Source organism: Homo sapiens, chromosome 19 (genome assembly GCF_000001405.40).
Source record: "Homo sapiens chromosome 19, GRCh38.p14 Primary Assembly".
Lineage (NCBI taxonomy): Eukaryota > Metazoa > Chordata > Mammalia > Primates > Hominidae > Homo > Homo sapiens.
Window position 1 is genome coordinate 53,608,625 of NC_000019.10, and position 23,904 is coordinate 53,632,528.

The 23,904-nt window shown below is 47.6% G+C and overlaps 1 protein-coding gene and 2 pseudogenes across 4 annotated transcripts in view, besides 4 other annotated features; all 3 read left to right on the plus strand.

Moving 5' to 3' along the window:
• Positions 1–23,904, plus strand: part of DPRX (divergent-paired related homeobox) — a 35,901-nt gene that overhangs the window by 7,511 nt on the left and 4,486 nt on the right. For 3 of the 4 annotated variants that reach the window (XM_047438893.1, XM_011527011.4, XM_011527012.3), the window contains exon 2: positions 23,438–23,510. In XM_047438893.1, coding sequence (XP_047294849.1) covers positions 23,483–23,510 — 28 coding nt within the window. In that variant the 5' untranslated portion in view covers positions 23,438–23,482. Of the gene's footprint in view, positions 1–23,374; positions 23,511–23,904 lie in introns of those variants that run through there. The other variant, NM_001012728.2, reaches the window with a different exon arrangement.
• Positions 3,133–4,126: an enhancer, noted in NCBI's record as "H3K27ac-H3K4me1 hESC enhancer chr19:54115011-54116004 (GRCh37/hg19 assembly coordinates)". NCBI's record gives its function as "activates a minimal SCP1, AML or CMV promoter by ChIP-STARR-seq in primed H9 embryonic stem cells {active_cell/tissue: H9 hESC(primed)}" and the evidence as "EXISTENCE:reporter gene assay evidence [ECO:0000049][PMID:30033119]".
• Positions 4,127–5,121: an enhancer, noted in NCBI's record as "NANOG-H3K27ac-H3K4me1 hESC enhancer chr19:54116005-54116999 (GRCh37/hg19 assembly coordinates)". NCBI's record gives its function as "activates a minimal SCP1, AML or CMV promoter by ChIP-STARR-seq in naive and primed H9 embryonic stem cells {active_cell/tissue: H9 hESC(naive and primed)}" and the evidence as "EXISTENCE:reporter gene assay evidence [ECO:0000049][PMID:30033119]".
• Positions 5,122–6,115: an enhancer, noted in NCBI's record as "NANOG-H3K27ac-H3K4me1 hESC enhancer chr19:54117000-54117993 (GRCh37/hg19 assembly coordinates)". NCBI's record gives its function as "activates a minimal SCP1, AML or CMV promoter by ChIP-STARR-seq in naive and primed H9 embryonic stem cells {active_cell/tissue: H9 hESC(naive and primed)}" and the evidence as "EXISTENCE:reporter gene assay evidence [ECO:0000049][PMID:30033119]".
• Positions 8,149–8,678, plus strand: OSTCP3 (oligosaccharyltransferase complex subunit pseudogene 3; annotated as a pseudogene).
• Positions 10,324–10,824: an enhancer, noted in NCBI's record as "H3K4me1 hESC enhancer chr19:54122202-54122702 (GRCh37/hg19 assembly coordinates)". NCBI's record gives its function as "activates a minimal SCP1, AML or CMV promoter by ChIP-STARR-seq in primed H9 embryonic stem cells {active_cell/tissue: H9 hESC(primed)}" and the evidence as "EXISTENCE:reporter gene assay evidence [ECO:0000049][PMID:30033119]".
• On the plus strand, positions 21,089–21,417 carry RN7SL317P (RNA, 7SL, cytoplasmic 317, pseudogene; annotated as a pseudogene).

Here is a 23,904-nt window from a genome sequence, read left to right on the forward strand (position 1 = left end):
TGTACTAAATGCCACTGAACTGCATGCTTTCAAATGGTTCATTTCAGGCCAGGCGCAGTGGCTCACGCCTGTAATCCCAGCACTCTGGGAGGCTGAGGCGGGCGGATCACGAGGTAAGGAGATTGAGACCATCCTGGCTAACATGGTGAAACCCTGTATCTACTAAAAATACACAGAAAAATTAGCCGGGCATGGTGGCGGGCGCCTGTAGTCCCAGCTACTCGGGAGGCTGAGGCAGGAGAATGGTGTGAAGCTGGGAGGCAGAGGTTGCAGTGAGCCAAGATCGCGCCACTGCACTCCAGCCTGGGCGGACAGAGTGAGACTCCGTCAAAAAAAAAAAAAAAAAAAAAGGAAAGAAAAGAAAGAAAGAGAAAGAAAGAAAGAAAGCGAGAAAGAAAAGAAAGACCTTACAATTCATTTGGAAACAAAAAGAGCTCAAATAGCAAAAGGAATCCTGAACAAAAAGAATAAAGCTGGAGACATCATGTTACCTGACTTCAAAACATATCAGAAGGCTCTGGTAACCAAAACAACATGGTATTGGTATAAAAACAGACATATGGCTGGGTATTGTGGCTCACACCTGTAATCCCAGCACTTTGGGAGGCCAAGAGGGGCAGATCCCTTGAGCTCAGGAGTTCAAGACCAGCCTGGGCAACATGGTGAAACCCCATCTCTACAAAAAATACAAAAATTAGCTGCGCATGGTGGCAGGCGCCTATAATCGGAGCTACCCAGGAGGCTGAGGCAGGAGAAGCGCTTGAACCTGAAGACTGAGGCTGCTGTGAGCCAAGACCACACCACTGTACTTTAGCCTGGGCGACAGAGCGAGACTCGGTCTCAAAAAAAAAAAAAAAAAAAAAAAAAAAAAAACAACCAAACCAGAAACAAAAAAAACCCCAAACATATAGAGCAATGGTACAGTATAGAAAATCCAGAAATAAATCCACGTGTGTACCGGCTGGCCACCGTGGCTCACTCCTGTAATCCCAGCACTTTGAAAGGCCGAAGTGGGCAGATCACCTGAGATCAGGGGTTCTAGACCAGCCTGACCAACATGGCAAAACCCCGTCTCTACTAAAAATCCAAAAATTGGCTGGGCATAATCCCAGCACTTTGGGAGGCCAAGGCGGGCAGGTCACCTGAAGTCAGGAGTTTGGGACCAGCCTGGCCAACATGGTGAAACCCTGTCTCTACTAAAAATACAAAAATTAGCTGGACGTGGTGGCACACACCTATAGTCCCAGGTACTTGGGAGGCTGAGGAAGGAGAATTGCTTGAACCCGGGAGGTGGAGGTTGTGGTGGGCTGACATCATGCCACTGCACTCCAGCCTGGGCAACAGAGCAAGACTCCATCTCAAAAAATAAAAATAAAAATAAGCCAGGGGTGGTGCCCACACCTGTAATCCCAGCTACTTGGGAGGCTGAGTGAGGAGAATCACTTGAACCTGGGAGGCAGAGGTTGCCGTGAGCCGAGATTGGGCCACTGCACTCCAGCCTGGGTGACAAGAGCAAAACTGTGTCTCAAAAAAAAAAAAAAAAATTAGGCGGGTGTGGTGGCATTTATGCCTGTAATCCCAGCTACTCAGGAGGCTGAGCCAGGAGAATTGCTTGAAACTGGGTGGCAGAGGTTGCAGTGAGCAGAGATCACACCATTGCACTCCAGCCTGGGCGACAGAGCAAGACTCTGTCTCGAAAAAAGAAAAAAGAAGAAGGAAAAAGAAATGATCCATGGGTGAGGGGTTGGATATCCTAGATGCCGTGACATGATGATCATTACCTACTCCATTCATGTATCAAAATATCACGTGCCCCATTAATATGTACAATTATTATGTATCAAATAAGAAAAAAGTTCCCTTCATTGGCTGTTTTAATTTTATACCACCCTAAGTGAAATATTGCCACTTAGAAAGCTTAGCTGCAGGTTTAGTAAATTATAGTGAAGAAACACACCTGAAGCTGGAGCTCTGCCGGGGGCAGGTGCAAGGGCTGATGTGGAGTCCCAGCTTGTCCAACCAGCGGCCCATAGGCTGCCTGCAGCTCAGGATGGCTTTGAATGTGGTCCCACACAAATTCAGAAACTTTCTTAAAACATTACGAGTTTGTTTGTGATTCTGGGTTTTTTTCAGCCCATCAGCTATCGTTAGTGTATTTTATGTGTACCCGGAGACAATTCTTCTTCTTCCAATGTGGCCCAGGGAAGCCAAAAGATTGGACACCACTGATTGTAGACAAATAAGGAGGCCACCTTCAGACAGAGCACTGTACGCTGTTTTGTTCTTGTTTTTCTTTGAGATGGAGTCTCGCTCTGTCTCCCAGGCTGGAGTGCAGTGGGACCATCTCGGCTCAATGAAACCTCCGCCTCCCAGGTTCAAACGATTCTCCTCCCTCAGCCTCCAAGTAGCTGGGATTACAGGCAACCAACACCATGCCTGACCAATTTTTGTATTTTTAGTAGAGACAAGGTTTCACCATGTTGGCCAGGCTGGTCTCAAACTCCTGACCTCAGGTGATCCAACTGCCTCGGCCTCTGAAAGCACTGGGATTACAGGCGCGAGCCACAGAGCCCAGCCACAAAGTGACCTTCTAAAAAAAACAAAAAATCCTTTTTGCAAGACAAAAAGTGCTCTCATGATAATTTTTTTAAATTTTTTTTTGAGACATGGTCTCGCTGTGTCACTCAGGCTGGAGTGCAGCAGGCTCAAGGCATCCTCCCACTTGAGCCTCCTGAGTAGCTGGGACTATAGTCCCACATTACCACACCCAGATAATTTTTGTATTTTTGGTACAGATGGGGTTTTGCCATGTTGCCTACACTGGTCTTGGACTCCTGGGCTGAAGTGATCCACCCGCCTCAGCCTCCCAAAGTTCTGGGATTATAGGCACGAGCCTCCGCGCCTGGCCCTAATATTTATGGTGGAAATAAGGAGATGATTGCGGTACGATTTCATGCCTTCCACAGTTTATTGACATAAAAAGAGATTTTTAAAAAAAACATTGACAATGCTTAAGGAGGAGAAGAATAACACGAACACACTTCATAGAATGCACTCTGTAGGCAAAGTACGTTAACCGAATAGTGAGTGAGTTCCAAATTTTTAAAGTCCTGTTGCTCACAGGATGGAGGAAGGACTATGTGAAAAGTAAAGTCTAATTCAAATTTGAGGTGAACTGGCTGGGCGCAGTGGCTCACGCCTGGAATCCCAGCACTCTGGAAGGCCGAGGCAGGTGGATCACCTGAGGTCAGGAGTTTGAGACCAGCCTGACCAATATGGTGAAAACCCGTCTCTGTTAAAAATACAAAAATTAGCCGGGCATGGTGGTGGGCGCCTGTAATCCCAGCTACTCGGGAGGCTGAGACAGGAGAATTGCTTGAATCCGGGAGGTGGAGGTTGCCGTGAGCCGAGATCGTGCCACTGCACTCTAGCCTGGGTGACAGAGCGAGACTCCACCTCAAAAAAAAAAGTAAGCTGGGTGGTGCAGTGGCTCACGCCTGTAAAACACTAACACATTGGGGGGCCAAGGCAGGAGAATCGCTTGAGCCCAGGAATTCAAGACCAGCCTGAGAAACATAGGAAGACCCCATCTCTACAAAAAATTTAAAAATGAGTGGGCATGGTGGCATACACCTGTAGTCCCAGCTAGTTAGGAGGCTGAGACAGGAGGGTGGCTTGAACCCAGGAGGTTGAGGTTGCAGTGAGCTATGATCCTACCACTGCCTGGACAACAGAGTGAAACCGGTCTCAAAAACAAAACACAAAAAAGCAGACAGCAGCATAGAAATAGGATTGGACGTGGCCGGGTGCAGTGGCTCACGCCTGTAATCCCAGCTCTTTGGGAGGCCGAGGCAGGTGGATCACTTGAGGTCAGGCGTTCGAGACCAGCCTGGCCAACATGGTGAAACCTCGTCTCTATGAAAAATACAAAAATTAGCCGGCCATGCTGGCAGGCGCCTGTAATCCTAGCTAATTGGGAGGCCGGGACAGGAGAATGGCTTGAACCCGGGAGGCGGAGGTTGCAGTGAGCTGAGATTGTGCCACGGCATTCCAGCCTGGGCAACAGAGTGAGACTCGGTCTCAAAAAGAAAAAAAGAAAAAAAAGACCCCCTCTCTATGTTAAAGAATATTTTTAAAAAAGGAAGAAAGAAAAGAAATAGGATTGGACAAAATGGATCTGATCTAAAGGTCATAGACTGCAGGGGTCGGGCGGACGGGGAACCCAGCAAACCTGTCTCTCTGCATTCCTCCTGGCCTCTCTGAGCAGCCTTCCCTCCTGCTGGGCAGAGGGCAGAAGCCTCTCTGGAATGAGGGTCATAGACCTAAAACCAAACAAGATAGGACAGGAATTCCTTTATGGTCAGTGTTTACAGGGAAGATGGAGGGAAAATTAGAGTCAGAGATTTTAGGTTTTATGGCAGGATTTGGGGAAAAGGGATTCTGGTGTCTATGGCTCACTTTGGGAAAGACAGTTTCTAGTTTCTATGGCTAGCCTTGGGGGAGAAGGAGGGTCAGGAAGAAACTTCCGCTTCTGAAGCTGCTTCGGAAGCCTTTGTTTTGAGGTTATCGGTTTCTGAGCCCCAATATTAGCCTGCCACAGTCTAAGCTTTCAAAGCGCCTGTCAAACTCTTGTGGATCTATGTATTTCAAAGACCAAAATCAACAGCTCACATATGGGGTCCAAGAGGAGGGGGGAGGTCACTGCACGTTGTCACGTGTGAGATCTTTGTTGTTGTTGTTGAGATGGAATCTCGCTCTGTCACCCAGGCTGGAGTGCAGTGGCACCATCTCAGCTCGACTGTAACCTTCACCTCCCAGGTTCTAGCAATTATCCTGCCTCAGCCTCCCAAGTATCTGGAATTACGGGTGCGTGCCATCATGCCCCGCTAATTTTTTTTTTTTTTTTGTATTTTTAGTAGAGACGGGGGTTTCACCATGTTGGCCAGGCCAGTCTCAAACTCCTGACCCCAAGGGATCTGCCCACCTCGGCCTCCCAAAGTGCTGGGACTACAGGCATGAGCCACCGCGCCTGGCCTCTTGTGAGATCTGATAAGAAGTCACGCACTAGAAGGAAGGGAAGAGTGTACTCCACAACCCCAAACGATGCGTTTGGAATCATTTCAAACCCACATAACAAGAGTTTCATACGGAATTGGGACAGAACATGGCCCCTAATGAGCCCCCCTAAATAATTCTCAAGGACCACTTCTCCAATGACGAAGGAGATTGAGGATTTTTTTTTCCTACGTTTATTGGCCGTGTGGATATTTTGCCTTTGTAAAATATGTGTCCAAGCCTTTTGCCCATTTCTCCAGTGGGTAGTATTTCCTTTGTTTTTTTTTTTTGAGACAAAGTCTCACTCTGTTGCCCAGGCTGGAGTGCAGTGGCCTGATCTCGGCTCACTGCAAACCCTGCCTCCTGGGTTCATGCCAGTCTTCTGCCTCAGCCTCCCAAGTGCTGGGACTACAGGTGCACACCACCACGCCCTGCTAATTTTTTGTATTTTTAGTAGAGATGGGGTTTCACCATGTTAGCTAGGATGGTCTCAATTTCCTGACCTCGTAATCTGCCCGCCTCGGCCTCCCAAAGTGCTGGGATTACAGGCGTGAGCCACTGCACCTGGCCTAAAAGAATCTTTAAATTGTCCATGAGCGATGGTGCGTGCCTGTGGTCCCAGCTACTTGGAGGCTGAGAAGGAAGGATCCCTTGAGCCTGGGAGTTTGAGGCAGCAATGAGCTATGCTCTTACCACTGCACTCCAGCCTGGGTGAAAGAGGAAGAAGACCCTTAATAGGCGGACCACGGTGGCTCACGCCTGTAATCTCAATACTTTCAGAGGCCTAGGTGGAAGAATTACTTGAGACCAGGAGTTCAAGACCAACCTGGGCAACATAGCGAGACCCTCATCTCTCCAAAAGTTTGAAAAAGAAAAAAAAAATTTTTAATGAAACAGAAGTCGTTAATTTTATTTTATTTTCTAAGACATCTTGTTATAGCAAAAAGTCCTTAATTTTAATATAGTCTAATTTATATATTTTCTTCATTGTAAAAATTTTTGGGTCCTATCTAGCAAATGTTAGCTTACCTCTATGTAATAAAGACATTCTTCTGTGTTGTCTTCTAAAACAAAACATTGTTTTATTTTCTGATTTTAGGTCTGCAGTTCATTTGTAGATTTTTGTGTCTAGGATTAGGTAGGGTTAAGATCATTTGTGGCCAGGCATGGTGGCTCACACCAGTAATCCTAACACTTTGGGAGGCTAAGGCAGGAGGATCTCTTGAGCCCAGGAGTTTCAGACCAGCCTGGGGAACATAGAAAGACCCTGTCTCTCTATTTTTTTTTTCAGTTAAATATATACTTTTAAAAAGATCATTTGTGGTGCTATAGTTGTGGGTGTTTAATTTGTAATTTACTTTGTTCTGTTGATCTATCTAATTTTTTTTTTAGACGGATTCTTCCTCTGTCACCCAGGCTGGAGTGCTTCAGCCTCTCAATGCCATCATGCCCAGCTAATTTTTTGGACTTGTAGTAGAGACAGAGTTTCACCATATTGACCAGGCTGGTCTCGAACTCCTGGCCTTAGGTGACCCGCCCACCTCAGCCTCCCAAAATGCTGGGATTATAGGCATGAGCTACTGTGTCCAGCCAGATCTGTCTAATTTTTTTTTTTCTTTGAGACGCAGTCTCACTCTGTCACTCAGGCTGGAGTGCAGTGGCGTGATCTTGGCTCAATGTAACCTCCACCTCCTGGGTTCAAGTGATTTTCCTACCTCAGCCTCCTGAGTAGCTGGGATTACAGGTGCGTGCCACCACGCCTGGCTAATTTTTGTATTTTTAGCAGAGACGGGGTTTTGCCATGTTGGCCAGGCTGGTCTCAAACTCCTGACTTCCAGTGATCCGCCCACCTTGGCCTCCCAAAATGCTAGGATTACAGGTGCGAGCCACTGTGCCTGGCCCAGAGCTGTCTAATTTTAAAGAATGTATGAAGATTCAGATTTAGGTTCCTGCTATTATGTTATGGGAAATCTTTTCCTAGTTTCTTCTGATTAATATAAATCCTTAATTTTATTTTTATTTATTTTTTTACTACAGTCCTCTTTTATTACTTTTTATTTTTCTTAATTTTAATATAATGAAAAGTTCGATTTTTCCTGTTATGGTTAGCATTTTTTTCTTCTGTTTAAGAGGTGTTTCCTGGCTGGGTGTGGTGGCTCACACCTGCAATCCTAGCACTTTGGGAGGCCAAGGTGGGAGGATCACTTGAACCCAGGAGTTCAAGACCAGCTTGGGCAACATAGTGAAACCCTTGTCTCCAATTTTTTTAAATTAAAAATTAAAAAAGGCGGGGCTGGGTGTGGTGGCTCACCCCTGTAATCCCAGCACTTTGGGACGCCGAGGCGGGTGGATCACCTAAGGTCAGCAGTTCGAGACCAGCCTGACCAACATGGAGAAACCCTGTCTCTACTAAAAGTACAAAATTAGCTGGGCGTGGTGGTGCATGTCTGTAATCCCAGCTATTCGGGAGGCTGAGGCAGGAGAATCGCTTGAATCCAGGAGGCGGAGGTTGCAGTGACCCGAGATTGCGCCATTGCACTCCAGCCTGGGCAACAAGAGTGAAACTCTGTCTCAAAAAAAATAAATAAATAAAAAATAAAATAAAAAAGAAGTGTTTCCCTAGCGTGAAGACATGAAGCTCTTCTGTAAACTTCATTGTTCTGCCTTTACAATTCAATCTACAACCCACTAGAATTAATCTTCCGTATATATAGCATGGGGTGGAGGTCAAACACCTTTTTTCCATATGGATGTTCAGCTGTCCCAGTGTCATTTATTTAAAAGACTGTACTGGACCTGGCATGGTGGCTCACGCCTGTAATCCCAGCACTTTGGGAGGCTGAGGCGGGTGGATCACTTGAGGTCAGGAGTTCGAGACCAGCCTAACCAACATGGCAAAACCCCATCTCTGCTAAAAATACAAAATTAGCCAGGTTTGGTGGTGCATGCCTGTAATTCCGGCTACTTGGGAAACTGAGGCGGGAGAATCCCTTGAACCTCATAGGCAGAGGTTGCAATGAGCCAAGATCGCACCATTGCATTCCAGCCTGGGCAACAAGAGCGAAACTCTGTCTCAAAAAATAAGAAAAAATAGAGGCCGAGAATGGCCCTTGCTGCCACCAACATGGAGACTTTGTACCGTGTCCCGTTCTTAGCGCTTGAATGTCCCAACCTGAAGCTGAAGAAGCCGCCCTGGCTGCACATGCCGTTGGCCATGACTATGTATGCTCTGGTGGTGGTGTCTTACTTCCTCATCACCAGAGGAATCGTTTATGATGTTACGGTTGAACCGCCAGGTGTTGGCTCTATGACTGATGAACAAGGGCATCAGAGGCCAGTAGCTTTCTTGGCCTACAGAGTAAGTGGACAATATTATTATGGAAGGACTTGGATCCAGCTTCCTGTTTACAATGGGAGGTTTAGGTTTCATAATCCTGGACCGATCGAATGCACCAAATATCCCAAAACTCAATAGATTTCTTCTTCTATTCGTTGGATTCGTCTGTGTCCTATTGAGTTTTTTTCACGGCTAGAGTATTCGTGAGAATGAAACTACCGGGCTCTCTGATGGGTTAGAGTGCCTTTAAGAAGAAATCAGGCTGGGTGCAGTGGCTCACGCCTGTAATCCCAGCACTTTGGGAGGCCGAGGCGAGCGGATTATCTGAGGTCAGGAGTTCGAGATCAGCCTGGGCAACATGGTAAAACCCCATCCCTACTACAAATACAAAATTAGCCAGGCGTGGTGACACATGTCTGTAATCCCAGCTACTCGGGAGGCTGAGGCAGGAGAATTGCTTGAACCCGGGAGGCAGAGGATGCGGTGAGCCGAGATCGCACCATTGCACTCCAGCCTGGACAACAAGAGTAAATCTCCGTCTCACCAAAAAAAAAAAAAAGAAAAAAAAAAAGAAATCAGTGCATACTGGATTTGCTCCTGTCAATGAAGTTTTAAAGGCTGTCCAATCCTCTAATATGAGATGTAGAAAAGAAGGAAGAGCAGCAGTAAAAGAAATATCTAGTGAAAAACCAGGAAGTGTATTGAAGCTTGGACTAGAATTTCTTCTTTATTAAAGAGACAAATTTATCACAGTATTTTCTTTTCCTGCTGACCACATTGCTATACCAATGATGATGAGTGGCATTTTCTTCTTAGTTTTTTATTTCTTTAAGAAAATACAAGCCAGGCGCGGTGGCTCACTTCTGTAGTCCCAGCACTTTGGGAGGCCAAGGTGGGCAGATCACGAGGTCAGGAGTTCCAGACCAGCCTGGCCACCATGTTGAAACCCCATCTCTACTAAAAATACAAAAATTAGCCGGGCGTGGTGGTGGCGGGGCACCTGTAATCCCAGCTACTTGGAAGGCTGAGGCAGGAGAATCACGTGAACCTGGGAGGCGGAGGCTGCAGTGAGCCTAGATCGCTGCCACTGCACTCCAGCCTGGGCGACAGAGCGAGACTCTGTTTCAAAAAAAAAAAAAGAAAGAAAGAAAGAAAAGAAAATATACTGCATACCTACAACTATAATAGCAAATATAGTGATTATTTTTTACAACCCCCTTAACACTTTTTGGAGATGACATTTCTGACTTTCAGAAATTAACATAAAATCAAGAAGCAAGATTCCATGAGCTGAGAACTCTGGACAGCTGGTCAGCTTTACCTACGGAGCTTTGGCTTTAACTAGAGTGTGTGATGGTAGATTATTTCAGATAGGTATGTAAGACTGCTGCCTGAACAATAACATGTATGAAAGGAACAGAAATAAATACTAATTAAAAAACAAAATAAGAAAAAATAAAAAATAAACACTACTATGGACATGGTAGCTCATGCCTGTAATCCTAGCACTTTGGGATGCCAAGGTGGGTGGATCGCTTGAACCAAGGAGTTCAAGGAGTTGGGAGACCAGTCTGGGCAACATAGCAAGACCCCATCTCTAAAAAAAAAAAAAAAAAAAGAGTACTAAAGACTCAGAGATAGAAAAATGGAAATTATTCATATTGTCTCCAGATTTTTTTTTTTTTGGACGGAGACTTGCTCTGTCACCCAGGCTGGAGTGCAGTGGCACTATCTTGGCTCACTGCAACCTCCACCTCCCAGGTTCAAGCAATTCTCCTGCCTCAGCCTCCCAAGTAGCTGGGATTACAGGCATACGCCACCAAACCCGGCTAATTTTGTACTTTTAGCAGAGACAGGGTTTTGCCATGTTTGTCAGGCTGGTCTTGAACCCCTGACCTCAGGTGATCCACCCGCCTCGGCCTCCCAAAGTGCTGGGATTACAGGTGTGAGCCACCGCGCCCAGCCAGTAGTCTTTTATCCTTGTAACAGATTAATCTTTTCTAGGGAAATGGAGACCTTTCATTTTCATGTCCTTTTTACATCCCTGTTGATTGTATCTCTGCCTCCATTCTGTTGATCGGAATGACACTAACTTAATTTGGGTTCTCTAAAGCAGACACTGATACAAAGGCTTCAGTTCCAGAGGTTTATTTAGAATGTGATCCTAAACCAAGAGGGAGGTAGCAGGGAGAGTAAGACAGGAAAGGATGGGGAGCCAACACCTTATCTAAGGACATGTTGAGGCCAGGCGTGGTGGCTCATGCCTGTAATCCCAGCACTTTGGGAATCCGAGGCGAGCAGATCACAAGGTCGGGAGTTTGAGACCAGCCTGGCCAACATAGTGAAACTCTGTCTCTACTAAAAATGCAGAAAACAGGCCGGGTGCGGTGGCTCACGCCTGTAATCCTAGCACTTTGTGAGGCCGAGACGGGCGGATCACCTGAGGTTGGGAGTTAGAGACCAGCCTGAGCAACATGGAGAAACCCTGTCTCTACTAAAAATACAAAAATTAGCCTTGCGTGGTGGTGCATGCTTGTAATCCCAGCTACTTGGGAGGCTGAGGCAGGAGAATCACTTGAACCTGGGAGGCGGAGGTTGCGATGAGCCGAGATCGTGCCATTGCACTCCAGCCTGGGCGACAAGAGTGAAACTTCATCTCAAAAAAAAAAAAAACAAAAAACAGAAAAAATTAGCTGGGCCTGGTGGCAGACGCCTGTGGTCCTAGCTACTCAGGAGGCAAAGGCAGGAGAATTGCTTGAACCTGGGAGGTGGAGATTGCAGTGAGCCGAGATCATGCCACTGCACTCCAGCCTGGGTGACAGAGTGAGACTCTATCTCAAAAAAAAAAAAAAAAAAGGATAAGTTGCTGAAGTCTGTGAAGTGGACAATGAGGGCTTGATTCCTTTGAAGCCTGTTGAAGACTGTTTACGCTTCCTCTTATCATCCCCTGCCTCATCCCCTGTCACAGAGATGAAAGACTGGGACATTTCTGTGCCAAATTTCATCCCACATTGGGTGAGGCTTTCCCTGAGACATGTTGACTTCCTGCAGTTCAAAGCTACTTTCTTCTTTAGACAGGGTCTCGCTCTGTCCCCCAGGCTAGAGTGCTATAGCGTGATCTCGCCTCACTGCAAGCTCCGCCTCCCGGGTTCAAGCCATTCTCCTGCCTCAGCCTCCCCAGTAGCTGGGACTACAGGCACCTGCCACCTTGCCCGGCTGTTTTTTTGTATTTTTAGTAGAGACAGGGTTTCACCATGTTAGCCAGGATGGTCTCGATCTCCTGACCTCATGATCCGCCCACCTTGGCCTCCCAAAGTGCTGACATTACAGGTGTGAGCCACCGTACCCGGCCTATTTTCTTCTTTAGACAGGGTCTTCCTCTGTCCCCTAGGCTGGAGTGCAGTGGTGTGATCTTGGCTCACTGCAACCTCTGCCCCCTGGGTTCAAGAGATTCTCCTGCCTCAGCCTCCTGAGCAGCTGGGATTACAGACATGCGTCACTATGCCCGGCTAATTTTTTGCATTTTTTGGTAGAGATGGGGTTTCACCATGTTGGTCAGGCTGGTCTCGAACTCCTGGCCTCAAGTGATCTGTCTGCCTTGGCCTCCCAAAGTGCTGGGATTACAGGTGTGAGCCACCCCGCCCGGGGCAAAGCTATTTTCCATTTTAAATTTTTTGTTATTGTTGTTTTGAGACCAAGTCTCACTCTGTTGCCCAGGCTGGAGTGCAGTGGCATGATCTCTAAATTTTGTATTTTTAGTAGAGACGGGTTTTCACCTTGTTGCCCAGGCTGGTCTCGAATTCCTGACCTCAGGTGATCCACTTGCCTCAGCCGCCCAAAGTGCTGGGATTACAGGCGTGGGCCACCATGCCCAGCCTGCCAAAGCTATTTTCTATGGGATAAATGACAGCAGAAAGGACCCCAGAGCAAAATACTACAAAGATGTATGGCACGTGCATGAGGTGAGAGTATGGTAGAATCAAGTGAGTCTCTGCTTTCATGAGACTGAACAGTGAGGCTCAGGTTAAAATTAGAGGTGTACAAGAGAGTATGATATGGACATCTGCTACTGAACAATCCTTGTGCTTCTTGAAAATGCTCATTTCCATATTTTTTATTTTTTATTTTTTTTCAGATACAAGGTCTCACTGTGTCACCCAGGCTAGATTGCAGGGGCACAATTAAGGTTCACTAAAGTCCCAACCCCCCGGGTTCAAGCAATCCTCCTGCCTCAGCCTCTGGAGTAGCTGGGACTGCAGTTGCATGCCACAGTGCCCGGCTAATTTTTTTATTTTTTGTAGAGGCAAGGGCTTGCTCTGTTGCCCAGATTGGTCTTGAACTCCTGGCCTCAAATGATCCTCCCACCCGTGCCTCCCAAAGTGCTGGGATTACAGGCATAAGCCACTGCACCCAGCCTCATTTCTATATGTAAGTTCATTTAGTCATTAAGTCTTGAAGCAAAGATCCAGCCACGATCTATATAAAATTTTCAATACAGGCCAGGCATGGTGGCTCACGTCTATAATCCCGGCACTTTGGGAGGCTGAGGCAGACTGATCACTTTAGGTCAGGAGTTCCAGACCAGCCTGGCCAACATGGTGAAACGCTAATACAAAAAATTAGCTGGGCATGGTGGTCAGCACCTGTAATCCCAGCTGCTAGGGAGGTTGAGGCAGGAGAATCGGTTGAACCTGGAGGTAGAGGTTGCAGTAAGTCAAGATCACGCCACTGCACTCCACCCTGGGAAACAGAGCAAGACTCTGTTCCAAAAAAAAACAAAAGGCAATCTTTCCTAGAAAAAAATAGTTTCTGCACATTCTTAGGCACGCATTTGTAGGCTGCTATAGCTATTTAAAATTTTCAATACAATATGTTTACCAGAGCAAACTACAATCCTCATTGTTATGTGGGCCCCAAACCATTACTGATACTCATCTGTTTCCCCCACGTCGTCTACATTTCCTCATGGTGGGCCAGTACTTCATTTTTTGTAACTCATTTGCCTGCTAGGGTGACTCAGGCCTTTGTTTCTGAGAGATCTGAGTCTGGTGTTGCTAGGAAGGAAAAGGTTAACTAGTCTATAATCCATTCTTTCTCCCAACCTGGTGATGTCTGAGGAGGCATCCCTTGGTCAAACTTCTTTGTAAACATGCTAATCAGATCTCATGGTATTTATTAGAGGAAAACAACCAGAGATTCTTATCTGTGAGATGCTTTCAGCAGGACATACTTGTTCTTTCTTGATGTCTTGCAGTAAACAAGGAATTTAGGGGTTTATGGGCATGAGCCACTGGAAAATGTCAGCGTCACATATTTAGTTAAGAGAGAGAGAGAGAGGGGCTGGGCGTGGTGGTTCATGCCTACAATCCCAGCATTTTGGGAGACTGAGGCAGGAAGATCACTTGAGCCCAGAAGCGTAAGATCAGCCTAGGTAACATAATGAGACCTCGTCTTATTAAGAGTCTGATTCTACCCTCCCTTGGTGTTATCTCAGTTACTGTACTTTTACAGGGCTGTGGTTGTGCAACTTCCTGCTGGGCATGGGGAATTCTCTGAGTTCCAGACAAGAACCTTCCTGCCCAATATGCAGCAGCAACCCAGTCTCTTCATAATGCTCGTGGTTGATTATCCATGCCCGCCAACTACCTCATTTCTCTGCCCAGTGCTTTATCAGCCTGAAGAGCCCACAGTCACCAGGCAGAAAACCTTACTGTGCTTCTTGGTGAAAGTGTTCCCTCTTCAAAAATGAAGACATCACGCCAGATAAGGTTTGGGGACTAGAAGCACAATTTCTTCAAGTGGGTCCCTAGACAGGATATTGATAAATGCCAATTCTGTTTCACTCCCTGGTAGCTACACCTGTATATTCTAACTACTAGGGTCACAGCCCCTTATATTGACTGTTGGTTATATGCAGATATTGCATCTTAGAGGACAGCACCCCAAACCCATGGGATGTTATACCTGGGCTGACACTTTAGTTGAGCCCTTTAAAAAGCCATTCCTGGGCCAAGCCCGGTGGCTCACACCTGTAATCCCAGCACTTTGGGAGGCTGAGGCGGGCGGATCACGAGGTCAGGAGATCGAGACCATCCTGGCTAACATGGTGGAACCCTGTATCTACCAAAAATACAAAAAAAATTAGCTGGGCCTGGTGGCAGGCGCCTGTAGTCCCAGCTATTCAGAAGGCTGAGGCAGGAGAATGGCGTGAACCCAGGAGGTGGAGGTTGCAGTGAGCTGAGACTGTGCCACTGCACTCCAGCCTGGGCGACAGAGTGAGACTCTGTCTCAAAAAAATAAATAAATAAATAAATAAATAAATAAATAAAAGGCCATTCCTGGCTGGGCATGGTGGCTCACGCCTGTAATCCCAGCACTTTGGGAGGCCGAGGAGGGCGGATCACCTGAGGTTGGGAGTTTGAGACCAGCCTGACCAACATGGAGAAACCCTATTTCTACTAAAAATACAAAATTAGCCTGGCATGGTGGCACATGCCTATAATCCCAGCTACTTGGGAGGCTGAGGAAGGAGAATCGCTTGAATCCGGGAGGCAGAGGTTGCAGTGAGCAGAGATTGCACCATTGCACTCCAACCTGGGCAACGAGAGTGAAACTCCATCTCAAAAAAAACAAAAAGCCATTCCTGGCCTGGCGCAATGGCTCACGCCTGTAATCCCAACACTTTGGGATTACGCTTGCCAAAGTAAGTGAATTACCTGAGGTCAGGAGTTTGACACCAGCCTGGCCAACATGGTGAAACCCCGTCTCTACTAAAAATACACAATTAGCTGGACATGATGGCAGGCGCCTGTAATCCCAGTTACTCAGGAGGCTGAGGGAGGAGAACCTCTTGAACCCAGGAGGCAGGGGTTGCAGTGAGCCAAGATTGCGCCATTGCACTCCAGCCAGGGCAACAAGAGTGAAACTCCGTCTCAAAAAATAAATAAATAAATAAATAAATAATAACCATTATGTTATCCCATGATGGCAGCTCTTTCTGTATAAGGTAATAAATATGCGATGTAAAGAGTGTATTTCATATTAATGCACTGATTGTTGTACCTTTTTTTTTTTTTTTTTTTTTTTTTTGAGACAGGGTCTTGCTCTGTCACCCAGGCTGGAGTGCAGTGGCGCAATCTCGACTCACTTCAACCTCTGCCTCCCAGGTTCAAGCAATCCTTCTGCCTCAGCCTCCTGAGTAGCTGGGATCACAGGTGCCCGCCACCACGCCCAGCTAATTTTTGTACTTTTTTAGTAGAGACGGGGTTTTGCCTGTTGCCCAGGCTGGTCTCAAACTCCTGACCTCAGGTGATCTGCCCTCCCTGGCCTCCCAAAGGGCTGGGATTACAGGCACAGGGAGCCACCATGCCCAGCTGTTTTTTTGTTTTGTTTTTTGTTTTTTTTGAGACAGAGTCTCACTCTGTCGCCCAGGCTAGAGTGCAGTGGCTTGATCTTGGCTCACTGCAACCTCGGTTCACTGAAGCCTCCCAGTTTCAAGCCGTACTCTTACCTCAGCCTTCTGAGTAGTTGGGATTACAGGCGTGAGCCACTGTGCCCAGCCTTTTGTTTTGTATTTTTAGTAGAGATGGGGTTTCACCATGTTGGCCAGGCTGGTCTTGAACTCCTGGCCACAAGTGATCCACCTGCCTTGGCCTCCCAAAGTGCTGGGATTACAAGGATGTTAGAAAATGGCTGGGCCTGGTGGCTTACACCTACTCGGGAAACTGAGGCACGAGAATCGCTTGAACCCGGGAGACGGGCATTGCAGTGAGCTGAGATCAGGCCATTGCACTCCAGCCTGGGCGACAGTCACAAAAAAAAAAAAAAAGAAAGAAAGAAAGAAAGAAAACACATCAATTCCAGGAAATACAAATCAGATGAGATCGGGCGTGTTCCCGGTGGTATGGTCACAGAAACAGGAAGCACAAATCAATCACCTCCACCACTGCCCTCTCCGGGGGAAAGGATGAAATGTAATCAACTTACCACTAACTAGTCAGTCATTCCCCTTAAAGGACAATAGCAGATCAAGGTGTCATCATGGGCTTTTTTTTTTTTTTTTTTGAGACAGGGTCTCGCTCTGTCGCCCAGCCTAGAGTGCAGTGGCACCACCATAGCTCAACCTTCTGGGCTCAAGCGATCCTCCTGCCTTAGCCTCTGGAGTACTAGGACTATAGGTGCATGCCTCCATGCCTGGCTAATTGAAAAATTTTTTTTGTAGAGACAGGATTTGGCTTTTTTACCCAGACTCATCTCAAACTCCTGGCCTCAAGCGATCCTCCCGCCTCGGCCTCTCACTGGTACTCTTATCACAGGCATGAGCCAGCGTGTCTGGCCCTGATCACAGCCAGAAACTCCCAGGCTGTGATAATGAGCTCAGCTTTCATGAGAGACAGCTCATGCTATTAGGCACATCCTTCGTCTCTTCTCCTGCTACCCTGCTACCGCGTCTCTGTTCATGGGTGCATTATACAAGCAGTGGTCTGAGGATAGAGCCTCAGTGATGCCCACTGCACAAGGCACCCTCTCTTCCTGGTTGCTCAGGATCTTCTCTGTGGTGAGCACTCCCTGGAGAACATTAACATGAGACACAGAGATCTCATGCCTCTGCCTCTTCTCATAATTCCTTTTTTTTTTTTGAGAGGGAGTCTCACCGTGTTGCCCAGGCTGGAGGGCAATGGTGTGATCTCAGCTCACTGCAACCTTCACCTTCCAGGTTCAAGTGATTCTCCTGCCTCAGCCTCCCAGGTAGCTGGGGCTACAAGTGTGTGTCACCGCACCCGGCTAATTTTTGTGTCTTTAGTAGAGACGGGGTTTCACCATGTTGGCCAGGCTGGTCTGGAACTCCTGACCTCAGGTGATCTGCCTGCCTCAGCCTCCCATAGTGCTGGGATTACAGGTGTGAGCCACTGTGCCCAGTGCCCCCCCTTTTTTGTGTGTGTCAGGGTCTCACTCTGTCACCCAGGCTAGAGTGCAGGGGCATAATCTCGGCTCACTGCAACATCTGCCTCCAAGGCTCAAGTGGTCCTCCCACCTCAGCCTCCTGAGTAACAGGGACTACAGGCACGTGCCACCAAACCCAGCTAATTTTTTGTATTTTTGGTACAGACGAGACTTCACCATGTTGCCCAGGCTGGTCACAAACTCCTGACCTCAAGCGATCCACCAGCCTTGGCTTCCCAAAATGCTGGGAATACAGACGTGAGCCACCGTGACTGGCCCCAGCTAATTTTTGTATTTTTAGTAGAGATGGGTTTTCACCATGTTGGCTAGGCTGGTCTCACACTCCTCACCTCAGGTGATCCACCTGCCTCTGCCTCCCACAGTGCTGGGATTACAGGCATAAGCCACCACGCCCCACCGTGAGACCCCCATCTCTACAAAAAAAGTTTTAATTAGCTGTGCATGGTGGCAGGCACCCTAGTCCCAGCTACCTACTGAGGAGGCTGATCGCTTGAGCCCAGGAGGTCAAGGCTGCAGTGAGCTGGGATCACAGCACTGCACTCCAGCCTGGGAGACAGAGGGAGACTCTATCTCCAAAAAGAAAAAAAGACTAGAGATTGTGCCCCAGGCACAGATCATATTAATCCCAGTGATATTCTGGGAGTGGTGGCCAGACTCCTTCCCAGGACTGGTCTTCCGGTTTGGCAATGAGTGTTAGTCAAGGCGTGAGGTTCTCATGGGCCGTCTCAAGCACTCTGTTCGACATCTTTTTACTCTCTCCCAGGCTGGGGTGCAGTGGCGTCATCTTGGCTTACTGTAGCCTCCGCCTCCAGGGTTCAAGCAATTCTGGTGCCTCAGCCTCCCGAGTAGCTGGGATTATAGGCGCCTGCCATCACGCCTGGCTAATTTTTTTTGTATTTCTAGTAGAGTCAGGGTTTCACTATGTTGCCCAGGCTGGTCTTGAACTCCTGACCTCAGGTGATCTGCCTGCCTCGACCTCCCAAAGTGCTGGGGTTGACTGCTCGTGGCCCCTCTGTTGCACATCTTGACTTCTCAGCCTCCAAGGTGATTCTTTAGGACACCAATTTAATCCCTCTAAACATGGCAACAGAGCCAGCGGTTTCCAGCCCTATTTGCGCAGTAGAAGGATTATTTACAAATCCTCGTACTTAGACTCCACCCGCAGAGATTCAAGTGGACTGAGCCTGGAGTGAAGCCGAAGGCATTTTCTTATAATCCTGAGAATGATAATATACAGCTGTCTTTGAAAACCACCACTAAGACTTGTAAACTTTGTTCATTCAAGTCTTCTTTTCTCCCCTTAAAAGCAGGCTTATCCTTGAGGTGTGCTTTTTCAGACTCCAGTAAGCATCACTGAGAACACTTAATTAATATACTGAGGCCTCTCACAAGAGGGAAGGAGTGGAAGAACTCCTGGAGAAGGACTTGGAAGGGAGAGATGTTTTTCTTTCTTTCTTTCTTTTTTTTTTTTTTGGAGACAGAGTTCACTCTTATTGCCCAGGCTGGAGTGCAATGGCGTGATCTTGGCTCACTGCAACCTCTGCCTCCCAGGTTCAAGCAATTCTCCTGCCTCAGCCTCCCCAGTAGCTGGGATCACAGGCGCCTACCACCATGCCCAGCTAATTTTTGTACTTTTTTAGCAGAGACGGGCTGTCGCCACGTTGGCCTGGCTGGTCTCGAACTCCTGACCTCAGGTGATCCGCCCACCTCGGCCTCCCAAAGTGCTGGGAGTACAGACATGAGCCACCGTGCCCAGCCAAGATGTTTTTCTTAACACAAAAAGTTTTTGTCTGGGTGTGGTGGCTCACGCCTGTACTCCCAGCACTTTGGGAGGCCGAGGCGGGGAGATCACTTGCAATCAGGAGTTCGAGACCAGCCTGGCCAACGTGGCAAATACAAAAATTACCTGGGCATGGTGGCGCTTGCCTGTAATCCCAGTTATTTAGGAGGCTGAGGCAGGAGAATTGCTTGAATCCGGGAGGCGGAGGTTGCAGTGAGCTGAGATCAAGCCACTGAACTCCAGCCTGGGCGACAGAGTAAGACTCCATCTCAAAAATAAAAAAAAATTTCTAAAGCAAGCGCTTGGGCTGTTCTGATGTCAACATACAGTAGCTGGCCCTACCTTTAACCCAGGATAAGGGGCAAAAGTATACCCAAAGATACATGTAATCAAAGTTGCTGGGTGCAGTGGCCCACGCCTATAATCCCAGTGATTTGGGAGGCTGAGGTGGGAGGATTACTTGATCCTGGAGGTTGAGACCAGCCTGGGTAACACAGTGAGACCTTGTCTCTGAAACCTAAAATAAAATAAAATAAAATACCACTGTGCTCTATCCTGAGCAACAGAGCAAGACCCTGTCTCAAATATAATAAAAATAAAAATAATCAGTCCTTGGGTTTAGCATCTTTGGACTAATGGTACCAGCATGAGGGAAAGCAGGTCTTTGTAGCTCTGATAAGTGAACTTTGACACTTCTTAGTGTTTTTCTCTAACTGTGGTGACATACGAATAACATATAATTAACCATTTAAAAATAAGCGGTTCGGTGGCATTTAGTACATCACAGTGTTGTGCAACCACCACCTCTAGGTAGTTCCAAAACTTTTTCTTTCTGTTTTTTTTTTTGAGACAGAGTTTCGCTCTTCTTGCCCGGGCAGGAGGGCAATGACACGATCTCCACTCACCGCCACCTCTGCCTCCCAGGTTCAAATGATTGTCCTGCCTCAGCTTCCCGAGTAGCTGGGATTACAGGCATGTGCCACCGCACCCGGCTAATTTTGTATTTTTAGTAGAGATGAGGTTTCTCCATGTTGGCCAGGCTGGTCTCAAATTCCTGACCTCAGGTGATCCACCCGCCTCGGCCTCTCAAGTGCTGGGATTACAGATGTGAGCCACCATGCCTGGCCCCAAAACACTTTCCTAACTCTAAAATAAAGTCCCATAAGCAGGTATTCCCCACTCCCTCCTCCTCCCGGCCTGTCCATCCACAAATGAATGGATTAAACAATATGGTTTATCCATACAATGGAGTATAATTCAGCTGTAAAAGGGGCTTGGCGCAGTGGCTCACACCAGTAATCTCAGCACTTTGGGAGGCCGAGGCGGGCAGATCACTTGAGGCCAGGAGTTTGAGACCAGCCTGGCCAACATGGTGAAACCAGGTCTCTACTAAAAATACGAAAATTAGCCAGGCGTGTTAGTGCACACCTGTAATCCCACCTACTCAGGAGACTGAGGCATGAGAATCACTTGAATTTAGGAGGCAGAGAAGTTGCAGTGAGCTGAGATCCTGCCACTGCACTCCAGCCTGGGCAACAGAGCAAGACTCTGTCTCAAAAAAAAAAAAAAAAAAGAGGAATGAGATACCGACACATTATACCATGAGGATAAACCTTGAAAACAACATGCTCAGTAAAAGAAGCCAGCACACAAAAGGTTACATATTATATAATGTAATTTTATTTTAGTTTTTGAAAAGCTGGTCTCCTGGGCTCAAGCGATCCTCCCTTCTTGGCCTCCCAAACTGCTGGGATTACAGGTGTGAGCCACTGTGTCCGGCCTATGATTTTTTTTTTTTAATGAAATACCTGGAAAAGATAAATCCAGAGAAACAGACGGCAGATTACAGGCTCTTTTTAAATTGGTTTCTGACACTATCACAAGATAAAAATGTGGTTTAAAATTGTTGCTTGGTATGTCTTATTCACCTCTAAAGATATACTGTTCATCAGGCCGGGTGCAGTGGCTCACACCTGTAATCCCAGCACTTTGGGAGGCTGAGGCGGGAGGATGGCTTGAACCCAGGAGTTCTAGGCTGTAATGTGCTCTGCCAATTGGGCATCCACACTAAGTTCGGCATCAATATGGTGACCTCCCACCAGGTTGCCTAAGAAGTGGGGAAATGGTCTAGGTTGAAAATGGAGCAGGTCAAAATTTTCATGCTGGCTGGGCACAGTGGCTCACACATGTAATCCCAGCACTTTGGGAGGCCAAGGCAGATGGATCACCTGAGGTCAGGAGTTTGAGACCAGTCTGGCCAACATGGTGAAACCCTGTCTCTACTAAAAATACAAAAAAAAAAATTAGCTGGGCATGGTGGCATGTGCCTATAATCCCAGCTATTTGGGAGGCTGAGGCAGGAGAGTTGCTTGAACCCAGGAGGCAGAGGTTGCAGTGAGCCGGGATCACGCCACTGCACTCTAACCTGGGCGACAGAGTGAGACTCCATCTCAAAAAAAAAAAAAAAAACTTTCATGCTGATCAGTAGTGGAATCAGCTTGTGAATTGCCCTCCAGCCTGAGCAACACAGACTGCCTCTTACTAATCCCAGCACTTTGGGAGGCTGAGGTGGGAGGATGGCTTGTGCCTAAGACTTTGAGACTAGCCTAGCCAAAATCCCTTCTCTACAAAAAATGCAAAAATTAGCTGGGTATGGTAGTGTGCACCTGTAGTCCCAGTTACTCAGGAGGCTTAGGTGAGAGGCTCACCTAGGCCCAGGAGGTTAAGGCTGCATTGAGCTATGATTTTGCCACTGCACTCCAGGCTGGGCCTAGGCCTTTGTAGTCACAGCTACTTGGGGGCAAATGTAGGAGGATCACTTGAGCCCAGTAGGTCGAGGCTGCAGTCAGCTGTGTTTTTTGAGACATAGCAAGACCCTGTCTCAAAAAGAAAAAAAAAAGTAGCTACAAGCTCATTTATGCAAAGGCTAACCACTGTCACAAGTAGAGATGTGCAGAACTGAGATTCAAATGGATGGAATGGCAAGAAAAACTGCCACTTCTGTGAACCTGAAGTCAAACTGCCCTTGTCGTCAAGATAAAAGGTATACATGGTGTGAGCCTGGGCATCTGAAAGGTGTTGCAGCTTTTTCTTTTATTTTTTTGAGATGGAGTCTCACTCCTGTCACCCAGGCTGGAGTGCAGTGGTGCGATCTCAGCTCACTGCAACCTCTGCCTCCTGGGTTCAAGCAATTCTCCTGCCTCAGCCTCCTGAGTAGCTGGGATTACAGGTGCCCACCACCACACCCAGCTAATTTTCGTATTTTTAGTAGAGATGGGGTTTCGCCATGTTGGCCAGGCTGGTCTCGAACTCCTGACCTCAGGTGATCCGCCTGCCTCAGCCTCCCAAAGTGCTGGGATTACAGGTGTGAGCCACCTGTAATTAGCCAGGCTTGGTGGTGGGTGCCTGTAATCCCAGCTACTGGGAAGGCTGAGGCAGGAGAATTGCTTGAACCTGAGAGGCGGAGGTTGCTGTGAGCCGAGATCGTGCCACTGCACTCCAGCCTGGGTGACAGAGTGAGACTCCATCTCTAAATAAATAAATAAATAAATAAAATGAGATGATTTCTGAGTGAGTTAACTAAATCAGGATATGCAGAACAATGCCAAGCATATATTAGCCACTAAAGAATATATAAGTTGCCTGAAAGCCCCTTTAGGGTTTAAACCTGGACTTCATTATTCACAATCACATTCCCGGTCCCCATTACGGAGCCTGGTCACCTGGGTGCTTGTTAGATATGGAAATCATCAGATCCCACCCCAGACCGAGTCAGAAACGTTGAGGGCAGGAGTTCAAGACCAGCCTGGCCAACATGGCGGAAACTCCGTCTCTACTAAAAATACAAAAATTAGTCAGGAGTGGTGGCACAGGCCTGTGATCTCAGCTACTCGGGAGGCTGAGACATGAGAATCCCTTGAACCTGGGAGGCAGAGGCTGCAGTGAGCCAAGATGGTGTCATTGCGCTCCAGCCTGGGTGACAGAGTGGGACTCTGTCTCAAAGAAAAAGAAAAAAAGAAAAGAAATTGCAGCTTCTGCTCAGGAAGTCTGGAGTGGGCCAGGATTCTGCATTTTAACAACTCCCAGGAGTGTTAGTGGGGCTGGTTTGTGGACTCGCCTTTGAGTCGTTGGTCTCCGCTCAATCAATATTAGATAAAATGACAGTATTGGGAGAAATCCAGGGGGCTCTGGAGGACCGAGGGATCATATTGGAGGCAGATAGGGCAGAGAAAGGTGGAGGAGGTGGGAGTCGGGTGTGGCTGTGGAGGAAGCTACTTAAATCCGGATTTGATCTTTGCTAGTTCTTATCCCTGGACCTGAACCCAGGCGCACATCTGGATTAGAAGATGCCAGGCTCAGAGGATCTTCGTAAAGGTAAGCCAGAAAAAATGAGAACCGAAGCAAAGACACGTGAAGAAGTGGAAAGCAGCTGGCGGCGGGAAAAGGCAGAGGGACCAGGCGGCCGAAGCTGGTGCTTCGTCCACGTGGGTGGCAGGGACTTCCCACAGAGGCTGTCATCGTTTTTGTTGTTGTTGTTTTGTTTTGTTTTGTTTGTCTTTTGAGACAGTCTCACTCTGTCGCTCAGGCTGGAGTGCAGTGGCACGATTTCGGCTCACTGCAACCTCCACCTCCCAGGTTCAAGCAATTCTCCTGCCTCAGCCTCCCGAGTAGCTGGGATGACAGGCACACGCCACCACACCTGGCTAATTTTTTTTTTTTTTGTATTTTTAGTAGAGCCGGGGGTTTCACCATATTGACCAGGCTGGTC